This window comes from Homo sapiens, assembly GCF_000001405.40.
Source record: "Homo sapiens chromosome 16 unlocalized genomic scaffold, GRCh38.p14 Primary Assembly HSCHR16_RANDOM_CTG1".
NCBI lineage: Eukaryota > Metazoa > Chordata > Mammalia > Primates > Hominidae > Homo > Homo sapiens.
In genome coordinates, this window is record NT_187383.1 from 1795074 (window position 1) to 1817600 (window position 22527).

The 22527-nt window shown below is 45.3% G+C and overlaps 1 long non-coding RNA gene across 1 annotated transcript; it reads right to left on the reverse strand.

The window, feature by feature from the left end:
* Window positions 1-1043: 1043 nt before the first annotated feature.
* Window positions 1044-22036, reverse strand: LOC107987386 (uncharacterized). The gene is made up of 5 exons (NR_171660.1): window positions 21799-22036; window positions 16493-16657; window positions 15540-15629; window positions 3103-3168; window positions 1044-1333 (listed from the first exon to the last, which is right to left on the reverse strand). It is a non-coding gene; the product is annotated as an uncharacterized LOC107987386 (long non-coding RNA).
* Between the last annotated feature and the right edge of the window lie 491 nt (window positions 22037-22527).

The window sequence follows — 22527 nt, forward strand, 5'->3', positions numbered from 1 at the left end:
ATTTCCCTGGGAGGTGCGGCCAGTCTACCCACTGCCTGGAGCCCGCACCGTCTCTCCTCAGGGGTCATGGGACCACCCTGTGCATCTACCTCCTTCACAGCCACAGCTGCCAGTAGATTAACGGGGCGTGTGTGCTGCTCTTGGGGTGGTCCCGGCCCGGCCCGGCCCTGCCCTCCCCACCAAGTGCCCAGGGCCGCCCTGCCCACCTGTGCCCTGCCCTGTAGATGCTGCCACCTCCCTTTCCTGGGGGAGCATTTTGTCTTGTGTGAGGACGGGGTCATTCCCATGGTCACCACCTGTGACCCTCCCCTGCCTGCAGAGGGAACAGAGCTGGGCCTGGGCTTATCCATGTCGGGTGCCCCTGGGGGACCTGGGGGCTCGTGGCCTCCCCTGCACACAGGGCTCCTCCTGGCGGGGCCTCCGAACCCCCTCATTTAGGTGTCGCTGCACGTGGCTCCCAGGTGTGGACGTCCTCACTCTGGCAAGGGCTCCTTCCTTCTGGGGTTGTTTGTGGAATGTGGCCTGGGTCCGTGGCTCTGGGAGGGAACAGCCCAAGGGTGGGGCCCCCCTGGCTGGGGAGGACGCCCCTCAGAGAGGCCCAGCCTGCATCCCGATGCATCTGGCGTGGCCGCGGTCCCCCTCCAGCACCGACGTTTGTAAATTCTGAAAGGAGCCATGCTGTGGCTGAGGGAGCCAAGCCCGTGACTGAAAAATCCTCCAAACATTCATTCAAAAATACAAGTGTGATCGCCAGAAACGCTTTTGTACATTTACACAAAACATTCATACAGGCCATGGCGGAGACTCCTGTCTAGGACTGGCAAGGCGCCCGGGAGCCGCCGGTCACCCTTGTGCCCACACAGACCCTTTCCAGAAAGACGCAGGCCCCGGAACTGAGGCCGGGTCAAGTCGGGAACGGCAAGTGCCGGAGGGTGTCAGTGTGGGAACCTGTCCTGTTCACGAGCGGCCCTACGTGTCCCCTGGGCACAGAGCTCTAGGCAGGTCCAGCCACGAACCCACAGCGGCAATCAACACGCTTCTGTGAATAAATAAAAATTTATCATTCCATGCAAACACACTCATTTTCCACAAAAGACAACAGTTTTTACACAAGCGGCGGTGTCCCAGTGGTGGCCGTGGCACGTGTGGAGCGGCCCCGCAGCGGCTTTCTCATGGGTGGCGTCACAGTGGCTCCAGGTCCTCATCCCCGCATGCATACTCGTACAGGTCCACGGCGCCCAGGGGTGAGGGCACCTCGAAGAAGGGCCTCTGGGCCAGCGGGGACTGCAGCGCACTCAGCTTCTGCTCCACAGGTCTGAGCTTGGCCTCAAACCTGCAACGAGGGGATGGTGAAGACGTGGACAGCGGCGTGGAGCAGGCCCTGGGCCCTGTTTTCCGAGAAATGCAGGCTGCTCCGCAGCCAACCTCCAGCACGAGAAAGTCCCCTGAGCCGACCTTGAGCTCCAGCCGCTGACCCCGCAACAGGCTCCTGGCTGAGAAAGCCGGCTCCACCAACACTCCCGGGGGAGGGGCCAGCGGTGCAGGTGAAAACCCACCCAGGACGGGACGGAGCCCCAGGCATGAGGTGCACAGAGAGGAACCGGGCGGGCTCATCTTTTCCCCAAAGCGACACGACGGTGACTCTCAGAGGGCAGCCTCTGAGCTGCAAGGGGCCTGTGTTTACACAACTGGGTCATGGTGTCCACACAGGATTGGAGAACAAACGGGACCACGGTTTGGACAAATTCTCCCAAAGCACAGAAGCTCCTAGTGGAGGCCACCACTTCCATTCTGACCAGAACACACAGCAGTGCGAGGACTGGACGCGCACCTTCCATTAAGGTCTCGGCAGTGACATCGGGCGCTACTCCGGGGAAACCAGCGCGGCCACCGACAACACAGAGTCTCATAGAGATCCTGCGGGGACACCTCTGCTTTCCAAGATGCCCCCCACAGCCTGGCACTGAGCTCCCACTGCCGGAGCAGGCATGGACACGGTGAAGGCAGTCAACCCCAGTGTGGTGCTGGCCACTGGTCAGGTGTGGAGCAGAGGTGACAGACGGTGGTGGGGACAGGTGCACACCCATCCAGGCTATGTCTGGGGGACACAGCTGCCTCAGGGTGTCTGGCAGGAGAAGGCAGACTGGGAAGTTCTGGGGAAGTGGGGACCCAGAGGTGGGCTGCCAGGTCAGAGCCACTGTGCAAATAACTGATCACAAGGAGGACAGACACACAGGACAGACGGCCCAGGGTAAGAAATTTCCTCACGAAAGGCTCTGGTAGAGGAATCACAGTTAGATGAACCAAAGCTTCAAATTCTACATTTTCATAAATATATATATATATATATATATATATATATATATATATATATATACACAACTTTAGCAATAAAAAACAGGTAGACTTTAATACTCGTATACTTTATAATTCATTTTGGAACTGCCTCATTCTCCCTTTAGCTGGTCACTGTGCACCTCGTGTTCTCAGTCTCTCCACCAAAAAAAAAATTTCCTCAGGAAAGGCTCTGAGAGAGGAATCGTAGTTAGATGAACTAAAGCTTCAAATTCTACATATATATATATATATATATATATATATATATTTAGCAGTAAAAACAAGTAGACTTTAATACTCTTATACTTTATAATTCATTTAGGAAAAGAAGGAACACCTTTGCAGCTACTCCTGCTAAGTTACCAAGAGTTTTTTCAATACTAATCTTCACAATTCATATTCAAATACTAAGAATCCCTAATCCCTTTAAAAATACATTTGTATTTCCAATAATTTGATATAGGCTCTCAAAAAGTCATTACATTTTGAGGGTAAAATCGAAACAACCTAAACATTAATGCCAAGTAATGAATATAATAGTTCACACATATTAAACAGTTAATTCATATGTGTAATACATTGTTACATATATACTTATACACAAAAACAAACATGTATGTGTATAAAATCTCAACAAATCCGATAAGAATTATTAGAACTAGTAATTAGACACTGTTGTTCTACTTCTGTAACCCATGATCTTAAACCATTATAGAATAAACCTTAAAAGCAATCATTATTTTCAAAGACAATTTTGAAACTTGCCTTGTGCGAGTTAGTAAATAACTGTGCTCCTTGGTTTCCTCATCTGTTACATGGGTAGAACCTACACTGTTACATAAAGATTAGAGCAGTTAATAGATAGAATATTTTAGTATTTATAGATCTAGAATATAAAAAGGAATTAATAAGTTTTAAGGAGAAAAAATAAGGGAAAAATAGTCTCATTTTCAAGCCTACTAAACATAAAATGTTTCTTACATTTAATTTATACATGCAGGGTAGGTCACTATACTAAAAATAAAGCACATTTAATTTGAAATTTTAGAAAGGGTAGATTGTTCTTATTTAGAGAATTGCAATACATTTTAATTTGTGAGCAGGAGGTCATGGTGTTATTTAGAAACAGTGACAAGAAACTTTTTTTGGCTATTATAAATGGAAATGGAAAAAAAGAAAGAAAAGCCAAGAGTAGTCATTTGACTCCAACAAGTAGTTTTTAAAAACTATTTCATTTGATTATCAGCTTCAGTTTCAAACGTTATATATCTGATAAACAAAACACAAAGGAAAAGCTTGATAATTAACAAAAAACTCTATAGTATCTCCTTTTTTTCATCTTTTTCCAGGTCAGATTCTTGCAAGCACTGGGAAATTAGTGTTTATTTAAGATTTAATGACAATGTTAATGCCACTGTCAATCTGTATTCTTTATCTAGAAAGGCAAATCTGATTTACATTAACCTGAACACCTTAATAACTAATTAAAATCTCAGCCTTCTGGCTAAGTTCTTAGACATTTATTCTGTTTAACTCAGCAACAAAATATTATTAGTCACTTTCTTTTGAGAAAGGTGAGTCTAATTTATTGGTACTATTTATTACCAATACATTTTATAATCTGCAACCTAATTAGCCTTAACAAAGTATTTTGTACTCAGCATGACTCAAATATTTTACTGAACTTACTGAAAAATAATGCTGCCGTTGCATTTCCACTCTAATATACTGCAGTGATTTTGTGTTTGCACATATTTGTCCATGTCATATGTTTGCTTGAAAGAATGTAAAACAAAGAATGCATATAGATTATTAAAGAAATCCTCCCAAATTTGTTCACATATATTAGATCCTAAAACTAAATAGGTGTTTTTTCTGAATTGAAATAGATTAACAGAACATATTAACTGAAATAACTGTCCTATTATTTATAATTCTTACCAGACACGTGCAATTGAGCCTATGACCGAGGATGAAGACTCTATAAAGGACATCGCTCAAGTATACAATATGATTTTCTTTAATTTTGATCTGAAAGACTTGTTAATAGAAAGACTGAAGTTCTGTCAAACAAATTGATTACATTTCTACTGGATTTCGGAAATACGTAGCATCTGTGATAAATTAAAGTACTTAATCATCACTTATTGTCTTTAGTGTACAATTTATTATATCTCTATTTTTATACCCCTCAAAGTATTTGCAAAATTAATAGAACTTTCTTAAGAATACAGTGACTGTCCTCAAAATCCACTTAAAATTGGTAGCCTCAAATTTATATTTCATCTACTCTTCCAAAATACTTATTGTATTGTTGGTTTTAAGTCTAACATCTCACTATTTTCTATTTTATCATATGCTTTTCTGATGCATATTTTTTTCTGCTTTATATTGATTTTTATGATCTTTTTTTCTTTATTAGGTTTTAGGTGTAACTCTTTTTATTTTTATAGTTACTTCATAGTTCATAATATGCAGCTTTAACTTATCACAGTCTACCTTCAAATGATATTACATCACTCAGACTGATTTGTGAGTACAGAGAGACTGGGCAGGGACATATATGATGAATCAGAAGCACCTGACTCTTTTAAAAGGCTCACTAATCTTAGTAAAATAAATCCATACAGAAAATTCTTTTATTTTAAGGTGAGTAAACATGCACACACATGGCCCTTCAAGGTCATTCTGTCAGTCAGCCTTAATCCAACCCATGAGATACCAATTTGCTAGTTTATGATCATTGCCATAGAACAGTTTTTTTAAATTCTAAGTTTAAACTGAAGATTCAATGGAGGTGGAACTAGTTTTCTTTTTGAGCAAGAAAATAACTCAATTAAATGTACTATGTCTCAAAATATGCAGTATACACACCATCATGAAAACGAGACAAGAGTAAATAAATTATGACATCTAGAAAATTAGGTAAGACACTGTTCAATAATGAGGCAAAATAGGATGTGAATGTCACCTACGCTATCAAATAGAGAGAAATGTGGGGTTTCATCGAATAAATCTGAGGTTGAATGTATAGAACATTATTTCAAATATGTCTTGATTTGTATTTAAACTTATATCCTATAAAATCATGCAGAATATGAGGAGTCGTTATCTAATTTTAAGTAGGAAAAATATGAATCAGTACTAATAATAAAAACTAATAATTTACTCAATGCCAGGCAATGTTTCTAGTGTTTTACATTTTCAGAAAACAATTATAACTGTGAAGAAAACAATTCTTCACTTTTCAAGAAAGAAAACCAAAGTAATGAGAAACTAAGTAAGTGGCCCACCCAAGGTCGTATAGTTAAGAAATGACTAAGTTGTAGACCTTATAGACCTTAACATGTTTTATTTGTTTGCTTGTTTTGAGATGGCATCTTGCTCTGTCGCCCAGGCTGGAGTGCAGTGGCACGATCTCGGCTCACTGCAAGCTCTGCCTCCTGGGTTCATGCCATTCTCCTGCCTCAGTCTCCCAAGTAGCTGGGACTACAGGCGTCCACCACCACTCTCGGCTAATTTTTTTGTGTTTTTAGTAGAGACAGGGTTTCACCATATTAGCCAGGATGGTCTCAATCTCCTGACCTCGTGATCCATCTGCCTCGGCCTCCCAAAGTGCTGGGATTGCAGGCATGAGCCACCACACCCAGGAGACCTTAACATGTTTTTAAGTAAAATGTATTATTTTTCATGTGTAATGTTTGCTCTGTCTCTCATATATACATAAAAATATAATCATGAAGAGAATTATAATAGCCAACTTTATATTTCAGAGATATTGGCTTGGCATTGCTTTCAGCAGGTATTTCGACATTAGCCTCTGGAATGGAGTTGGGGACAGGTTGATTTCAATGTTTCAAAAATATATGAGAACTGTGAACCTATGTTAGTGGATTGCCTATTCGTGACTTCTAGTTGAACACTATCAAAATTGACAACTAAAAAAAAAAATGAAATGAGAGAAAATGTTTATAGCACTTAAGAGGATAAATTAGTTTCTTTATGTCTAGATTTTATATTAAAGAGCTTTCAGGAAAAGTAAATGACAGTTAATGATTTTGATTATAATCAGTCAGACTTTTTCCATATTTGAGCAAAAATTGTAATTGACTTATCCACTGCTTTCAGTGTAGATTAGCTGAATCATCTAACTTATGTCATCTCTTATAAAAATATTGAGATGAAAAATGAATAAATGATTTATTTATCTTAAAACAGTTCTATGTTGATAATATAAAAAATACTGACAGTTTCATCTAAAATATGTTTGGATAAGCTACATTATATATGATTCATATCTTATGTATAATTTTTATATGATATTTGATTTGGTTCATACACAAAGGAACAAATGTTTTTATGTAAGAAAGTTATTTTGCTTATTACAGAATTTAAAACTAAAATGATTCTTCCACGATGGCCATTTAACAATTTAAATTTAGGAAACATCTGGCATGTTCAACTGAGTATTTACTTTGCATAATTGTGTTCCATATCTTAATGCATTCCCTTTAGCAGTTTCTTTCAGCAAGCAACACATGTAAACTTGTTTCTCGCTAAATATTTTTTATTTAGCAAAGTTTTAGACCTAGAGATTTAAAGAAAAATTGAAAAGATGTTACAAAGATGAACTCTTGAACCGAATCTTTTATTTTTAAGCATGCAAAACGGTGTGGTTTTTTAAAACCCTGAAGACATAAATGTACAACTGAGAACCCAAAGAAAATTGGACTGTTTTGTTTTGTGATTTGATGTCTGAAAAATAAAATCCTTTAGTTTCCTTTCATTTTTCCTGAGAGAATATAAACTGTGTTGTGATGTCAAACTCATTCTGAGTTTAGATGCCCCATGGGCAAATCGTTTCATCTAATTAAAACAAAATGAAGACAAATCTCTTACACATAAATCTTTGATGGTGGGAAATGTAGCTTCATGTTTTTAAAGCCTTCACAGAAGACAAAGTACCTCTCAATCTTGTAACTCTACTTTTTATAGCTACCTAATTATTAAGGCATATTTGATATACTGTAATCAATTTATATTTGTGTTTTGTTTAATAATTGGGATCCTTTGGACCGTTTGCTGCAAATATCCTATATTTAAAAAAAACTTTGTCTAAATATATCATGTAGAAAAATATTTATACCTAAAAATATAAACTCCATTAACAAAAATTGTTCAGCAAAACTCTATTAATTCAATACACTGTATGGTTAATTTTTGTAGCCAATTTTTCCTTTTCTTCTCTCTAATGATGTGATGTTCTTCAATGTCTTCTGAAAACTTGAGCATAGGAAGTTGGAAGTGTATAAAGCAAAACAAATAGTAAGGAGATAATTTAGAATGCTAATTTTTGAAGGGGAAATATAAATTTTACAACTCTTAGATTGCATTTTAAATTTATATTATCTGTATTTAAGTATTTAAGTTGATTTTCACCAGTGTGTTAGTGTGTTTGTGTTGTTGTAAAACAAATAACTAAGACTGGGTCATTTATAAAGAAAATAGATTTATTTGGCCCTTGGTTCTGCAGATTGTACACAATGCATAGTGTCAGCATCTGCTTGTGGTGAGGGCCTCAGGAAGATTACAATCATGGCAGAATTTGAAGGGGAGCCAGCATGTCATAGGGCAAGAGAGGGAGCAAGAGAGAGAGAGGGAAGGTGCCACACTCTTAAACAACTAGATCTCCTGTAAACTCTTTACCACTTATTACCCAAGGGAGGGAACCAAACCATTCATGAGGGATTTGCCCCCATGACCTAATACCTCCCACTAGGCCTCACATCCGACAATACAGGTCACATTTTAATATGAGATTTGGAGGGGATAAAACATCCAAACCATATCAACTGTTCACTGCTAACTACTAAATCAAAGAATTAATTTTTTACAGGCAATGTATTTTTTTCTTCATTCAAAAGAAAAATACTTGACTGGACCTTATGAGGAGAAAATGTTAATCTCTTGCAGTTTTTAATTAAATAAAATAATTTGAGGCTATTTTTGCAAATTAAGGCCATTGAGAAGGACTCTAGACTATAAAAAGATTCCAGACATTTTCTATAAACATATTTCATTATATATATATATATAGTTGTTATCATAGTAGATTTACACCATTGCCATCTGGAAGTAATTCCCTTATTCAACACAGAAGGATTTCTCATCCTTCTCCTAAATATTTTCTTCTAGCTCAGAGTGCCTGTGGCCAAAAACAAGAGATTTTAAAACAACAACAAAAACAAAAAATTCTGCTATCCCCATATGGGTTATCTTTCTTTTGTAGTCTTCTTTTTACTTGAGTTAAAATATTTCCTTTGAATTCAGACTGACAAAGATATTGAAGGACATCGAATGTCGTTTAGAGCACTGTTCCTGCGCCTGTTTTCACTAGATCAATAGTGGAGGTGACTGGAGATATTGGAAGAAAGAAATAAACTAGGGTAGCTCATATCACCCATTCCATGTTTTTTGTCTTTAGGATGTCCCAGCCTGCAGTGAAAATGAATTCTGTTCTGCCTCTGCTATGCGGTAAATTTAGCAATAAAGTTTCTGCTCTGTGCCCTGTACTGGAGTGTAGTGTAGGAAAATCCCTGTTGCTAAGCACCACGCCAACAACACCATGAGCTACAGAGCTCACATGTTTATTTCATTATGCTTTACTTCTGTTTTTTTTTGTTGTTGTTGTTGTTGTTTTGAGATGGAGTCTGGCTCTGCAGCCCAGGCTGGAGTGCCATGGCGCAATCTCGGCTCACTGCGAGCTCCGCCTACCTGGTTCACGCCATTCTCCTGCCTCAGCCTCCGAAGTAGCTGGGACTACAGGCGCCCACCACCACGCCCAGCTAATTTTGTATATTTTTATTAGAGACGGGGTTTCACCGTGTTAGCCAGAATGGTCTCGATCTCCTGAGCTCATGATCCACCTGCCTCGGCCTCCCAAAGTTCATTATGCTTTATTTCTATGTCTATCTTGAATTGTTTCATATTCAGAGAAAACAGGAAGGTAAGTTGTTAACATTCTTCATTGCAACAAATTTTTAGAACTAATTCTATATTGAGGAATGTCTTACATTTTAACCAAAACCTTTTGATAAATTACAAAGTTGCTGAATATATCTAGATCTAAATCTTAAACTATATCTATAGCTATTATATAGATGTATATGATTTATCAAGAGCTATTATCTGGAATATATACTTGATTCCTTTTACAATTTTCATAATGTAACCAGAAAATGACCCTTGAGATCCTTGAGAGTGATTATATAAACATACCCTTGATTTGCTATCTCTAGCCTAATTATCACAGTTAAAATTTTGGTATCAAAAATGGAGCAAAGATAATAAGACTTGTAAAGCAGCAGACCTTACAAAATGTTAAAAACAATTTTATTTACATAGTGCATCCACACAGACCTAATTATATGTATTAAACCTAATGTTTAACATTATTAACAAGTCAGAGAATTTAGAAAAATCAGACATAATTTTAGATAAAATAAATATTAATACTAGTCATTAATATAATCCCTGTTTGATAAAATGACTATATGAAAATAACTGCCCTCAAATTATTTTCAGCTCACATATTTTTAATGAAAGGAGATGGTGGCTGGAGGCAGTGGCTCACGCCTATAATGACAACACTTTGGGAGGCCAAGGCCGCGGATCACTTGAGATCAGGAGTTCAAGACCAACCTGGCCAACCTGGTGAAACTTTATCTGTACTAAAAATACAAAAGTTAGCTGGTTGTGGTGGTGGGCGTAATCCTAGCTACTCAGGAGGCTAAGGCAGGATAATCACTTGAACACAGGAGGTGGAGGTTCTAGTGAGCCAAGATGGTGCTACTGCACTCCAACCTTTGTGAGAGATCAAAACTCTGTCTCAATGAATAAATAAACAAGGAGATGGTATGGAATCATTATTAATTTTGGGCCCCTCATGTTAGCTAATATGTTTAAACCTAGGTCAAGATAGAAACTGACCCAGATTATTACCATGTTTCAGTGCATAATATTTTAAAATAATTCAACACTGACACATAATACTATGCTATTCCACCTAGATATAAAAAAATGGTAAGAGAAGTCTCATGTTCTTGTCCCGGCATGGTCACTTACACCTGTAATCCTAGCACTTTGGGAAGCCAAGTGGGGAGGATCCCTTGAGGCCAGGAGTTTGAAACCAGACTAGGCAACACAGTGAGACCTATCTCTACAGAAAATTTAAAAACTAGCTGGGCATTGTGGCAAGCACCTGTAGTCCCAGCTACTGGGGAGGCTGAGGAGGGAGAATTGCTTTGCTCAGGAGTTCCAGGCTACAGTGAGCTATGATCACATCACTGCACCCCAGCCTGCGTAATACAGTGAGACCCTGTCTCTTAAACAAACAAAAAATAATCCCAGAACTCTAATGTTCTTATATGATATAGGACTTTTAAAAATTAGCCAGGCATGGTGGCGCATGCCTGTAGTCCCAGCTACTTGGAAGGCTGAGGCACGAGAATCACTTGAGCCTTGGAGGCGGAGGTTGCAGTGAGCCGAGATCATGCCACTATACTCCAGCCTGGATGATAGAGCGAAACTGTCTCAAAATAAATAAATAAATGAATGAAAGTACACCGAAAGTTTTAACTTAACAAATTTTATTTACGCCTCACATTGATGGAGTGATAAAAACAAATAAGTAATACTAATGAACGTATAGGATATTTTACAATTTTTTAAAAAATTAGACCCTTATATATACAAAGTAATTTAATTTTTTTTGTTGTTTTTTTGAGATGGAGTCTCGGTCTATCACCAGGCTGGAGTGCAGTGGTGCGATCTCAGCTTGCTGCAACCTTTGCCTCCTGGGTTCAAGCAATTCTCCTGCTTCAGCCTCTCCAGTAGCTGGGACTACAGGCACGCAGCACCACACCCGGCTAATTTTTTGTATTTTTAGTAGAGATGGGGTTTCACCATGTTGGCCAGGATTGTCTCGATCTCTTGACCTCATGATCCACCCGCCTCGGCCTCCCAATGTGCTGAGATTACAGGTGTGAACCACCATGCTCGGCTGCAAAGTGATTTAAATTTATCAACAATTTTATCTTAACGCAAAATTTTTGTCATTTGTGATATTTTCCAATAGCTTATCCGAATTCCTTAGGATCAGATTTCAAAATAAGATTTCCAAGTCAGATTCTTTGAAATTACAATCCAAAAATATTTAGATTTTAGAAAGGTAATGTGGTAAATATTCTGCCTATTATGGAATAACTCTAGTGGCAAATCATATGAATAATCACATGAACTGGGATCAATAAGACTATAAATACCCCTGGTCGGGTGCGGTGGCTCACACCTGTAATCCTAGCACTTGGTGAGGTTAAGGTGGGTGGATCACAAGGTCAGAAGATCGAGACCATCCTGGCTAACACAGTGAAACTCTGTCTCTACTAAAAATACAAAAAATTAGCTGGGCATGGTGGCAGGCACATGTAGTCCCAGCTACTCGGGAGGCTGAGGCAGGAGAATGAATGGCGTGAACCCAGGAGGTGTAGCTTGCAGTGAGCCAAGATTGAGCCACTGCACTCCAGCCTGGGTGACAGAGCAAGACTCCGTATCAAAAAAAAAAAAAAAAAAATTAGCTGGGTGTGGGCAGGTGCCTGTCATCCCAGCTACACGGGAGGCTGAGGCAAGAGAATTACTTGAAACCAAGAATTGGACGTTGCAGTGAGCCAAGATCATGCCATTGCACTCCAGCCTGGGCAAGAGCAAAAACTCTGTTTTAAAAAAAAAAAAAAAAAAAAAAAAAAAAAAACTATAAATGCCCCTACATCAGCATAGATCAGATTTTCCAAAACTTAGGTTTAGGTATTCATAACTGTTGAATTTTGTATTTCCACATGAAGAATTGTAGATCTGCATATATTTTCAAATACTAATAGTTATAATTACATAGTTTATAATTTATAAGTCCAATTTTTGGTTATTTTCATTATTAATACTTTTCCAGTCATCTACCCTTTCTAAAAGAGAATACAAAATGCTTCTTTTCCTTTTTTTTTGTTTTCAAGGCTAGAACCAAGATGGGGCAAAGGCCGGGGCAGATCTAGGGCACAAGCAGGGCAGGCTAGGGCAGGGCAATGGCAGGGCCAGCCATGGCAGGGCACAGGCGGGGCAGGGTCAGGGCCACGGCTGGGGCAGGACAAGGATGAGGACCGGGGTCCAGGCCAGGGCAACGGTATGGCCAGGGCAGAGGTAGGGCCAGAGCCAGGGTCTGGGCAGGACCAAGGCAGGTCCATTGCAGGGCCAGGGTTCAGACCAGGGCCAGAGCAGGCCTGGGACAGGGCCAGGGCCAGGACCTGGAAAGGGCAATGTCAGGACAAGGGCCATGGCAGGACCAGGAACGGGGCTAGGGCCAGGACAGGGACAGGGAGAGGGTCAGGGCTAGGGCCAGAATAGCATGCCAGGGGAGAGCCAGGCCAAATTAGGGCCAGGACAGGGTCAGGACCAGGGCTGGGTCAGTGTATGGCCTTAAGTATTGAAGGGCCAGGGCCAGGGTCCATGCCAGTGCCAGTGCCGGTCTAGGGCAGAGGCAGGGCTATGGCCAGGTCTAGGACAAGGCTGGGGCAGGGCCAAGTTCTGGGTCAGGGTCAGCACAAGACCAGGACAGAGCCAGGAGAGGGACAAGGCTGTGGTCGGGCCAGGTTAACTCAGGGACAAGACACCTGCAAATCCACTTCAGGGCCAGGGTCAGGGCAGCACCAGTTCAGGGCCAGGGCCAAGACAGGGCCAGGGCCAGAGCTGTCAGGGTCATTGGCAGGGCAAGGGCCATGGCAGGACCAGGGTCAGGAGCAGGGGTCAATGTCAGGCCAAGGCCACAGATAGGACCAGATCTGTGCTAGGGCCAGTGTGAGAGCCAAGGTAGGGTCAGGGCAGGGCCAAAGGGAGGGCAGGGCCAGGGCAGGGTGGAGCAGGCCCAGGGTAGCACAGGGTTAAGGTAGGGCACGACCAACCAGGGCAGGTCTATGGCTGGGGCTGTGGCAGGGCCAGGTCCAGGGCAGGGCCAGAGCCAGGGCAGGGCCAAGATAGTGGCAGCTCCAGGGCAGGGCCAGGGTTAGGACCACGGACATTTCCAAGGCCAGTGCCAGGGCAAGGGCAAGGGCAGGGCAGGGCCAGGTTCATCTAAGAACCAGGGACAAAGCCAGGCCCACAGCAGGGCTAGCATCTGGGACAGGGCCATGGCAGGGCCAGGGCCACAAGCAGGTCTGTGCTATGGCCAGGTCCAACACAGTGCCCAGGTAAGGCTAGGGTGAAGGTCAAGGTAGGGCCAGGGCAGGGTCAAAGCCAGGCTAGGGCCAAGGCAGGGACAGGGCCAGAAGGCAGGGCCAGGAAAGCATAGGGCCAAGGCAGGGCAGGGCCAGGCCAGTGCCAAGACCTGGGCAGGGCCAGGGAACAGCCAGGGCAGGGCCAGGGCCAGGGCCATGGCCATGGCCTGGGCAGGACCAGGTTTGGGGCAGGAGCAAAACAAGAGCAAGGACAGTGCAGGATCTTGGCACAGCCAGGGTCCAGGACAGTGTCAGGGCAGGGCCAAGGCAGGGTCTGGGCCATGGTAAGACCAGCAACAGGGCTGGGGCTAGGCCAGTGACAGGACCAGAGTCAGAGCAAGGGCCAGAGCAGTGCAAGGCCAGGGTAGGGCCAGTCATTTCAGGGTCAGGGCCAGGGGAGAACCAGGACAAGGTCTCAAGCAGGGAAGGGCCAGGGCCAGGGCCAGGACAGGTCCAGGGCAGGGCCATGACAGGGTCAGGGGCTGCGTTAGGGCAAGGGCAGGGCCAGAGCAAGGTAAGGGTCAGGGCCAAGGCCGGGGTAGGGACAGGGCAAGAAATATGGCAGGACCAGGGGCAATGCCAAGGCCAAGGCTGGGCCAGGGCTGAGCCAGGCCAGAGTCAGGGCAGGGCAGGGCAGGGCATGGTATGACCAGTGCAGGACAGGACAAGAGCCGGTCCACAGAGAGAGCAGGGCTGATGCCAAGAAAAAGCCAGGCTAGTGTCAAGGCTGAGGAAGTGTCAGAGCATATCCAGGGCAGGGCCGGGTCCAGGGCCAGAATCGAGCCAGGGCACAGCCAAGGCAGGGTAGGGCAGGGAAATAGCAGCAGGGCCTAGCAAGGACTAGGGTGAGGGCTAAGGTAAGACCAGGGCAGGGTCAAAGGCAGAGTAGGGCCAGGGCAGCATGATGACACATCCAGAGCACAGCAGGGCAGGGTGATGGCAAGACCAGGGGCAGACCACTGTCAGCTCAGGGCCAGGGAAAGGCCAGTGCAGGGCCAGGAAAGGGTCTGGGTCTGGGTCAGGGCCAGGAACAAGGCAGAGCAGGGCCAGGGCCATGGCAGAGTCAGGTCAGGTCCTTGACAGGACCAGGTTCCAGGCCAGGGCCAGGGCAGCAGCAGGGGCAGGGCCTGGATAAGGGTAGGGCCAGGGATATGCCAGGACCAGGGCTAGGGCCAGGGACAGGCCATAGTGAGGGCAGGGCAAAAGCCAAGGCAGGGTCAGGGCAGGTCCAGGGAGCGGCCAGCACCAAGCGGGGCCAAGGCACAACCATTGGGTAAGGCAGGGCAATGGCACCACTGGGCCATGACAGGGCAAGGTCAGTGCCAGGAGAGGGCAGAACAGGCAGGCCCATGGTGGGGCCAGGGCAGGAATGGGCCAAAGCAGGGCCAGGACATGTCCAAGGCCAGGTCAGGGCCAGAACAGGAGCAGGACCATGACCATTGGCAGGGCCAGTGCCACGACAGGACAAGGGTCAGGACAAGGGGCAGGGCCAGAGCCAGGGCCAGAGCCAAGGTCAGGCCAGTGCAGGTTCAGGGCAGGGCCAGTTTCAGGGCAAGACCAGGGCAGGGACAGGGTATCACAGGGCCAAGACAGGGTCAGGATGGGACCAGAGCAGGACAGGGCCGAGACAGTCCAGGTAACAGTAGGGCAGGTACAGGGCAAGGCAGGGCAGTACAGGGCCAGATCCGTGGCAGGGGCAGGACAAAGCCAGGCCCATTGCCAATGCACCAGTCCTCCCTACAAGGCTCCTACCACCTGGCCACTGCTGCAGCCCGTCCATCACTGCAAGCCTGACCCCCAACCCTGGCTGCAGCCGCCTGCCCTCCTAGTGTGGCCGCTCTCCTACCGCTCTGGCGCACTGCAGTCTCCGTTGCTGCCACCCACCTGCAGCGAGGCGAGCCACGGTGTCGCAGGCTCTAGGTGTCTCCTCCTCCTCCTGGCATGGAGCAGCTGGGCGGGCAAAGCCAGAAAAGCCTAGAGGAAGATGTGAGGGGCGGAAGGGTTAGAGCCTCAACTTGTCATGCTGGCCACTGGGTGGCAGGGGCCAGTTTCAGCAAAGGCACTCTCACCCACCCTCCAAAGTCCAGCCTCTCCTTTTGGCCCAAGCTGGCCCGGAACTGGGGTCTGGGGTGGGTGCTGGAGATACCACAGCACCCAGCTCCCCACTCCACAGGAATCATTGGGCCCACTGGGGCTGCACTCCTCGGGGAGCAGGAGAAGCAGAAAAATTCAGACCCAGCCAACCCTCCGCACCTAGGTGCCAATTCCTGTTCCGGACGCCTCCACGCACAGGGCCCTGTCCCCCGTGGTGTCCCCAGGGGTGCCTGGCAGCCTCTGAGGCACAGACCCAGAGTGCACAGGCCCAGGAACCACGGTGGGTGTGGGGGTTCTGCCATGCTCAGGATTCCAACGCAAACGCTGCATGCCTGCTGCACTCCAGTATGACCAAGAGTGGGTCGCCCTCTGGAATGTGGAGTCAGGGAGAGGAGAACCACTCCTTCCTTGGATGCCAACTCTCCTGACCGCCACCAGCAGTGCAGCCACTGATAGCACCAAACTCGCCCCCCCTCCACGGCTAGTCCTGCCCTCAATAGCGCCCCCCACCTCCGTCCCCCAATGCCACCAGTAGCGTATACCCAATAGTGCCCTAACGTGTCCTCCTCCATGGGCATTGCAGCCCCAGAAAGTGCCCATAACCCACCCTCCCTGCCGTGGGAAGTGCAGCCCTGTACAGTGCTACCAACCAGTACCCCTAATGCAGGCAACGACACCCTGCATAGCGCCCCCAACCCACCCCACACTGCGAAAGGTGCAGCCCTGGATAGCCCCCGTCCTACCACTCTGGTCGTGCTGCACACTCTGTCACCGCCACCACCAACCAGTGAGGCAAACCAGTGGTCCACAGGCTCTAGCACCCAGCAGCCAGGCACGGAGCAGCTCTCACTGATGGCCAGCTCCTACCACTCTGACCATGCTGCTGTCTCCCTGGCCATCTTCTTTGACTACAAAGGAATAAAACTAGGTATCAGTAAGAAGAGTAATTTTGGAAACAATACAATCACATGGAAGTTAAACACTACCCTCCTGAATAAATGACTAGCGGGTCAATGAAGATACTAAGACAGAAATTCAAAAATTTCATGAAACAAAGGGTAATGAAAACACAGTATACCAAAACTTGTTACGCAGAAAACAGTACAAAGGCAGAGATTTACAGCTATAAGTGCCTACCATCCAAACAAAAGAAAAACTTCAAATAAACAATACATCTTAAAGAACTAGTAAAGTAAGAACAAACTAAACCGAAATTAAGAAAATAACTAAGATTGTAGCAGAAATAAAATTGAAATAAGAAACACACAAGATTAAATGAAAAGTTGGTTTTCTGGAAAGCTAAACAAAATTGACAAACTTTTAACCAGGCTAACTAAGAAAAAAGAGACAAGATTCAAATAAAATCAACAGATTAAAAAAAAGGAGACACTACAACTAATAACTTCAGAAATTCAAAGGATCATAACTGGCTATTACATGCCAATAAATTGGAAAGCCTAGTAGAAATTGGCAAATTCCTAGATGCATAAAACCTACTTAGGTTGAATAATGAAAATATCCAAGACCAGAACAGATTGGTAACAAGTAATGAGATTGAAGCCATCAGAAAAAGTCTCCCAGTAAAGAAAAGCCCAGGAACTGATGTCTTCACTGCTGATGGCTTCACACCAAACAATTTAAAGACCTCGTACGAATCCTACTCAAACTATTTTGAAAAACAGGAGGGAATACTTCCAAACGTATTCTATGAGACCATTATTACTGTGATACCAAAATCAGACAAAGGCATCAAAGAAGGAAACTACAGGCCAGTATCTCTAATATTGATGCAAAAATCCTCAACGAAATACCAGTGAATCAAATTCAGTAAAACATTAAAAAGATAATTCATCATGATCAAGTGGAATGTATCCCTGGGATGCAAGGGTCACTCAACATACAATGTGATGCATCATATCAACTAAATAAATGACAAAAACAGTATGATCATGTCAACTGAAACTGAAAAAGCATTTGATGAAATTCAACATCCCTTCATGCTATTAATCCTCAAAGAAACGGGTACAGAAGAAACATACCGCAACATAATAAAAACTACAGGAAAGACACCCACAGCTAGAATCATATGGAGGGAGGTCCAGGCTGCAGTGAGCTGTGATCCCACCAATGCACTCCAGCCTGGGCAACAGAGTGAAACCCTGTCTTAAAAAAATATGTAAAAAGAGGTATGAGCCTCTTTTATAGGTGCAGTGACTCACATCTGTAATGCTAACATTTTCTGGGAGTCTGAGGTGAGAGGATCTCTTGAGGCCAGGAGTTCAATATCAGCCTGGGCAACATAGCGAGACCCTTTATCTACAAAAAAATTTAAATATTTGCCAGGTGTGGTTGCATGTGCCTGTATTCTTAAACAATTATAAGATGACCCAGATAGTCTATTCCTTAGGGCTATACCCAAGGGAAATGAAAATATACATCCACACTAAAATTTGTACACAAATGTTCATAGCAGCATTGTTCATAATAGCCAAAAATTGGAAAAAAAACTCAAGTGCCTATCAACAGAGGAACTGATAAAATATGGTATATCCATTCAAAAGATTACTCAGCATTAGAAAAGAGTGAAGTGCTGATATACGCAACAGCATGGATAAACCTTGAAAACACTGTGCCAAGTGAAATAAGTCAATCACAAAAGACCATATGTAGTAAGATTTCATTCTGTGAAATCTCCAGAAGAGCTAAACTCAGAGACAGAAAGTAAGCTAGTTATTGCCAGGGACGAGGGGAAAAGGGAATAAGGATGACTGCTAATGGGTGTGGGATTTCTTGTGGACTGATGAAAATGGTCTGAAAGTATCTAGACACCTGTCTTGTTTGTGTGATTCTGTGAACATATTATAAACCATAAAATTCTGCACTCAAGGGGTTGATTTCATGGTAGGTGAATTTATCTCATTTATCTTTATCTCAATAAAGCTTTCTAAAGAAACTTTAAAAAGACATCTGTATAACCTACAAAAATAACACACTGAGAGACTAAAATGCCTAATTTTTCCATTTTTCTTCTTCAGCGCAATCTCAAGTCAAAAAGTCTTTCCTTCCTATATATGCATATTTTGTCCAGTGAAACAAGAAACTCTATTAATTTTTTTATTAGAAATAAAAAAATGCCATGTGTGCTGGCTCACAGCTGTGCTTCCAGCTACTCAGAAGGCTGAGGAAGAAGGATCACTTGAGGCCAAGACTGGGAGTTCAAGACCAGCTGAGGCAACATAGCTAGATCCTGTCTTTAAAAATATTTTTTAGGCCAGGCACGGGGGCTCACGCCTGTAATCCCAGCACTTTGGGAGGCCAAGGAGGGCAGATCATTTGAGATCAGGAGTTCAAAACCAGCCTGGAATACATGGTGAAACCTCATCTCTACTAAAAATATAAAAATTAGCCAGATGTGGTGGTGGGCACCTGTAGTCCCAGCTACTTGGGAGGCTAAGGCAGGAGAATTGCTTGAGCCAGGAGGGTGGAGGCTGCAGTGAGTCCAAGATCATGCCAATGCACTCCAGCCTGGGTGACAGAGCAAGACTCTGTCTCAGGAAAAAAAAAAAAAAAAAAAAAAAAAAAAAATATATATATATATATATATATATATATATATATATATATATACACACACACACACATATACATATATATGTATATATATATTTTTAAGTTAAAACCCTACTGAAATGAAATAAAATAAAATTCGACTTAATTAAAAAATAGTTCCTGAAATATTAATTTTCAAACAATTCTATTTTAGCTTTGACTCTGAACAAAATATAAACGTCAATTTCAAAATATCACAAAGATTGGCTGGGGGCAGTGGCTCATGCCTGTAATTCCAGCACTTTGGGAGGACGAGGCAGGTGGATCACTAGAGGCCAGGAGTTCCAGAGCAGCCTGGCCAACATAGGGAAACCCAGTCTCTACGAAAAAAATACAACAAAAATTACCCGGGTCTAGTAACCCCAGCTACTCAGGAGGCCGAGGAATTAGAATCGCTGGAATCTGGGAGGTGGAGGTTGCAGTGAGTGGAGATCATGCCACAGCACTCCAACCTGGGCGACAGACTGAGTCTGTCTCAAAAAAATAAAAATAAGGCCAGGTGCCGTGGTTCACGCCTGTAATCCCAGCACTTTGGGAGGCCAAGGTGGGCAGATCACTTGAGGTCAAGGAGTTTGGGACCAGCCTGGGCAACACAGTGAAACCTCCTCTCTACTAAAAATACATAAATTAGCTGGGCGTGGTGGCACACACTTGTAATGCCAGCTACACCAGAGGCTGAGGCAGGGGAATCGTTTGAATTCGGGAGGTGGAGGTTGTAGTGACCTGAGATTGTGCTACTGCACTCCAGCCTGGACGACAGAGTGAGACTCCATCTCAAAAAAAAAGAAAAAAAAAGAAAAATTTAAATTTAAAATTTAAAAAAATCACAGACTACAAATACTCAGGTTTAAGCAAATTCCCACCTTTCTCGAATTAACAGTAATTCATATTTGCTTTGTCAAAAATGTTGATATTTACCTGCCTCAACAGAATGAAATCCTAAAAGCCTAGTGTTCTCAAATGATGAAGAGAAAGACACATGCATATTTTAATTTAGAATTTTGATTCAGAATTAATTTTAATCTAGCTGGAGTATACATAATCGTTTATGTATTTATTTACTTATTTAGGAGACTGGGTTTCACTGTGTTATCCAGGATGGAATGCAGTGGCACAAGTTGGCTCACTGCAACTTGTACGTCCTGAGCTCAAGCAATCCTCCCACCTCAGCCTCCGGAGTAGCTGGGACTTCAAGTGCACGCTACCACACCCAGCTAATTTTTGCGGAGACGAACCTCGCTATGTTTCCCACACTGGTCTCTAAGTCCTTGGCTCACTACAGCCTCAAGCCCCTGGGCTCAAGCAATCTGCCTCCCAAAGTGCTGAGATTACAGGAGTGAGCCACCGCAATCGGCCTAGTGGATAGTGTATACTAAGCAACATATACCCTGCTTTTGCCTAGAACATACTGAAAACATGGCATTAAAACAATCACAAAAGTTGGGAGCTGAGAAAAATCATATACTGTAAAACAAATCTGACAGATATTAATCTCAGGAAGCTCCTGAAAATGTTTCAAGAACTCCTATGCTGCACTCTCCCTAATAATTTAGACTTTCTACAGATATTTTCTGATCATCTACCGTGTGCCAGGCACCATGCCAGGTACCAAGATGCCATGGTGAGGTATACACAAAACCGGCTCCTGCTTGCGGGAAGCCTACTCTCTCAAACAGTGCTTGCCAAGCTCGACTGATCACAACTTGGGAGCTTGTTTAAGTTCCAAATCGGCTTCCCTGCTTAGGTGAGCCACAATCCGTGGCATTTTTATCAGGTGCTCCCAATGATTCCTACGCTCTAACGGGTTTGGGAGGAAAGGGTGGGGGTTAGCTCGAGAGCCCAGAGCCATCCGTTCCAGCAGGAGCCCCACCTCTAAAGTCCATGTCGCTCAGCATCCTTCCCCCTGACTAGTGGCCTAAACACAGCAGGAAGCTGAGGTGGGTGGAACGCTTTCCAAAACAGCACTCTGTGATGAGCCACCGACAGACTTGCTCACCTCCGGGGACGAAGAGCTCCCTCCTCACAAACCCCACCCAGGAAAGGTAGCACCTGAGCCTCCCGGGCTGCGCCGACACCTGTCTCCCCGCGGGTGCCGCCTACTGCTCCAGTGGACTCCAGTCCCCAGGTTCCGCCCCACGGGGACTGGGGAGAGTGGGGGAGGCGCCGCGAGCATTAGGCGCTGACTGTATACCGACAACCCCTCTCCGGTGTGCGCAGGCCAACACCCATACACACCCTCATACACCCACACTCTAGCGGAAACTGAGGCAGGCAGGCGTTGGACCAGGTCCCGCCGCCTGACGGCTCGCAGCTGGGATCGAACCCGGACTGCGAGACGCCTTCCGCCTCACAGGCGCTCCTCAGTCTCAGGCCCGGCCTGGCTCCCACCGCCGGAGTTTCACAAAGAAAGTCTCCGGGCCCGAGCCCCTCACGCACTCACCGGCACCGACGCCGGCGGCGACTCGGGCTCCCGCCGCCTTCAGCTCCTTGCGGTGGTTGGCCCTTGGGTGGGCTCCGGCGCCAGCGGCGGCGACTGCTCCATATCCACGGGGTCCAGGCCGCGTCCGCCTCGATCTAACGGTCCCGCCAGCTAGGCGCGCGCGCCAGTTCCGCGCGCCATGTTCCCGCCGTGCTGCGCACCGCCCAGGCGACCCTCGCTGCCCGCTAACCGCGCGCGCGCCCCCGCGGGCCCACACATGAACCGCGCACGCGCGCGTTAGCCGCACTCCCTCCCCGTGCGCCCCGCCTCACGCCCTCTAGAGCTGGCGGCTGTTCCCAGTGCCTCGCCCACCCCGGCCGGGCCCGTCGGACTCGGCGGGTGAGTGCGTGGTTCCCGGCTCCGCACCGCCGCCTGCCTCTCTGCAGACCACCCGGGACCCAACCCCTCAGCCACTTCCCCACACTGCCCCTTTCGCTTCCCCCACCACGCGGGGCCTAGGAAGAGTGTCTGGGCCAAGAGGAACTTCCCCGCAAGAAGTACCGAGCTAAGGACGCTACTAAGGGGGCGGGATCGCCACCGTGGAGGTGTGCGAGCACATGCCTGCGTCAGGGAGACAGCCAGAGTCAACGGAGAAGCTGAGTTCAAGTCCCACATCTCCACTAACCCTTGCGTGTTAGGGTCAGGGCTTCGGGACTTGTTTCTCCTAAATCTTTTTTTTTTTTTTTTTTT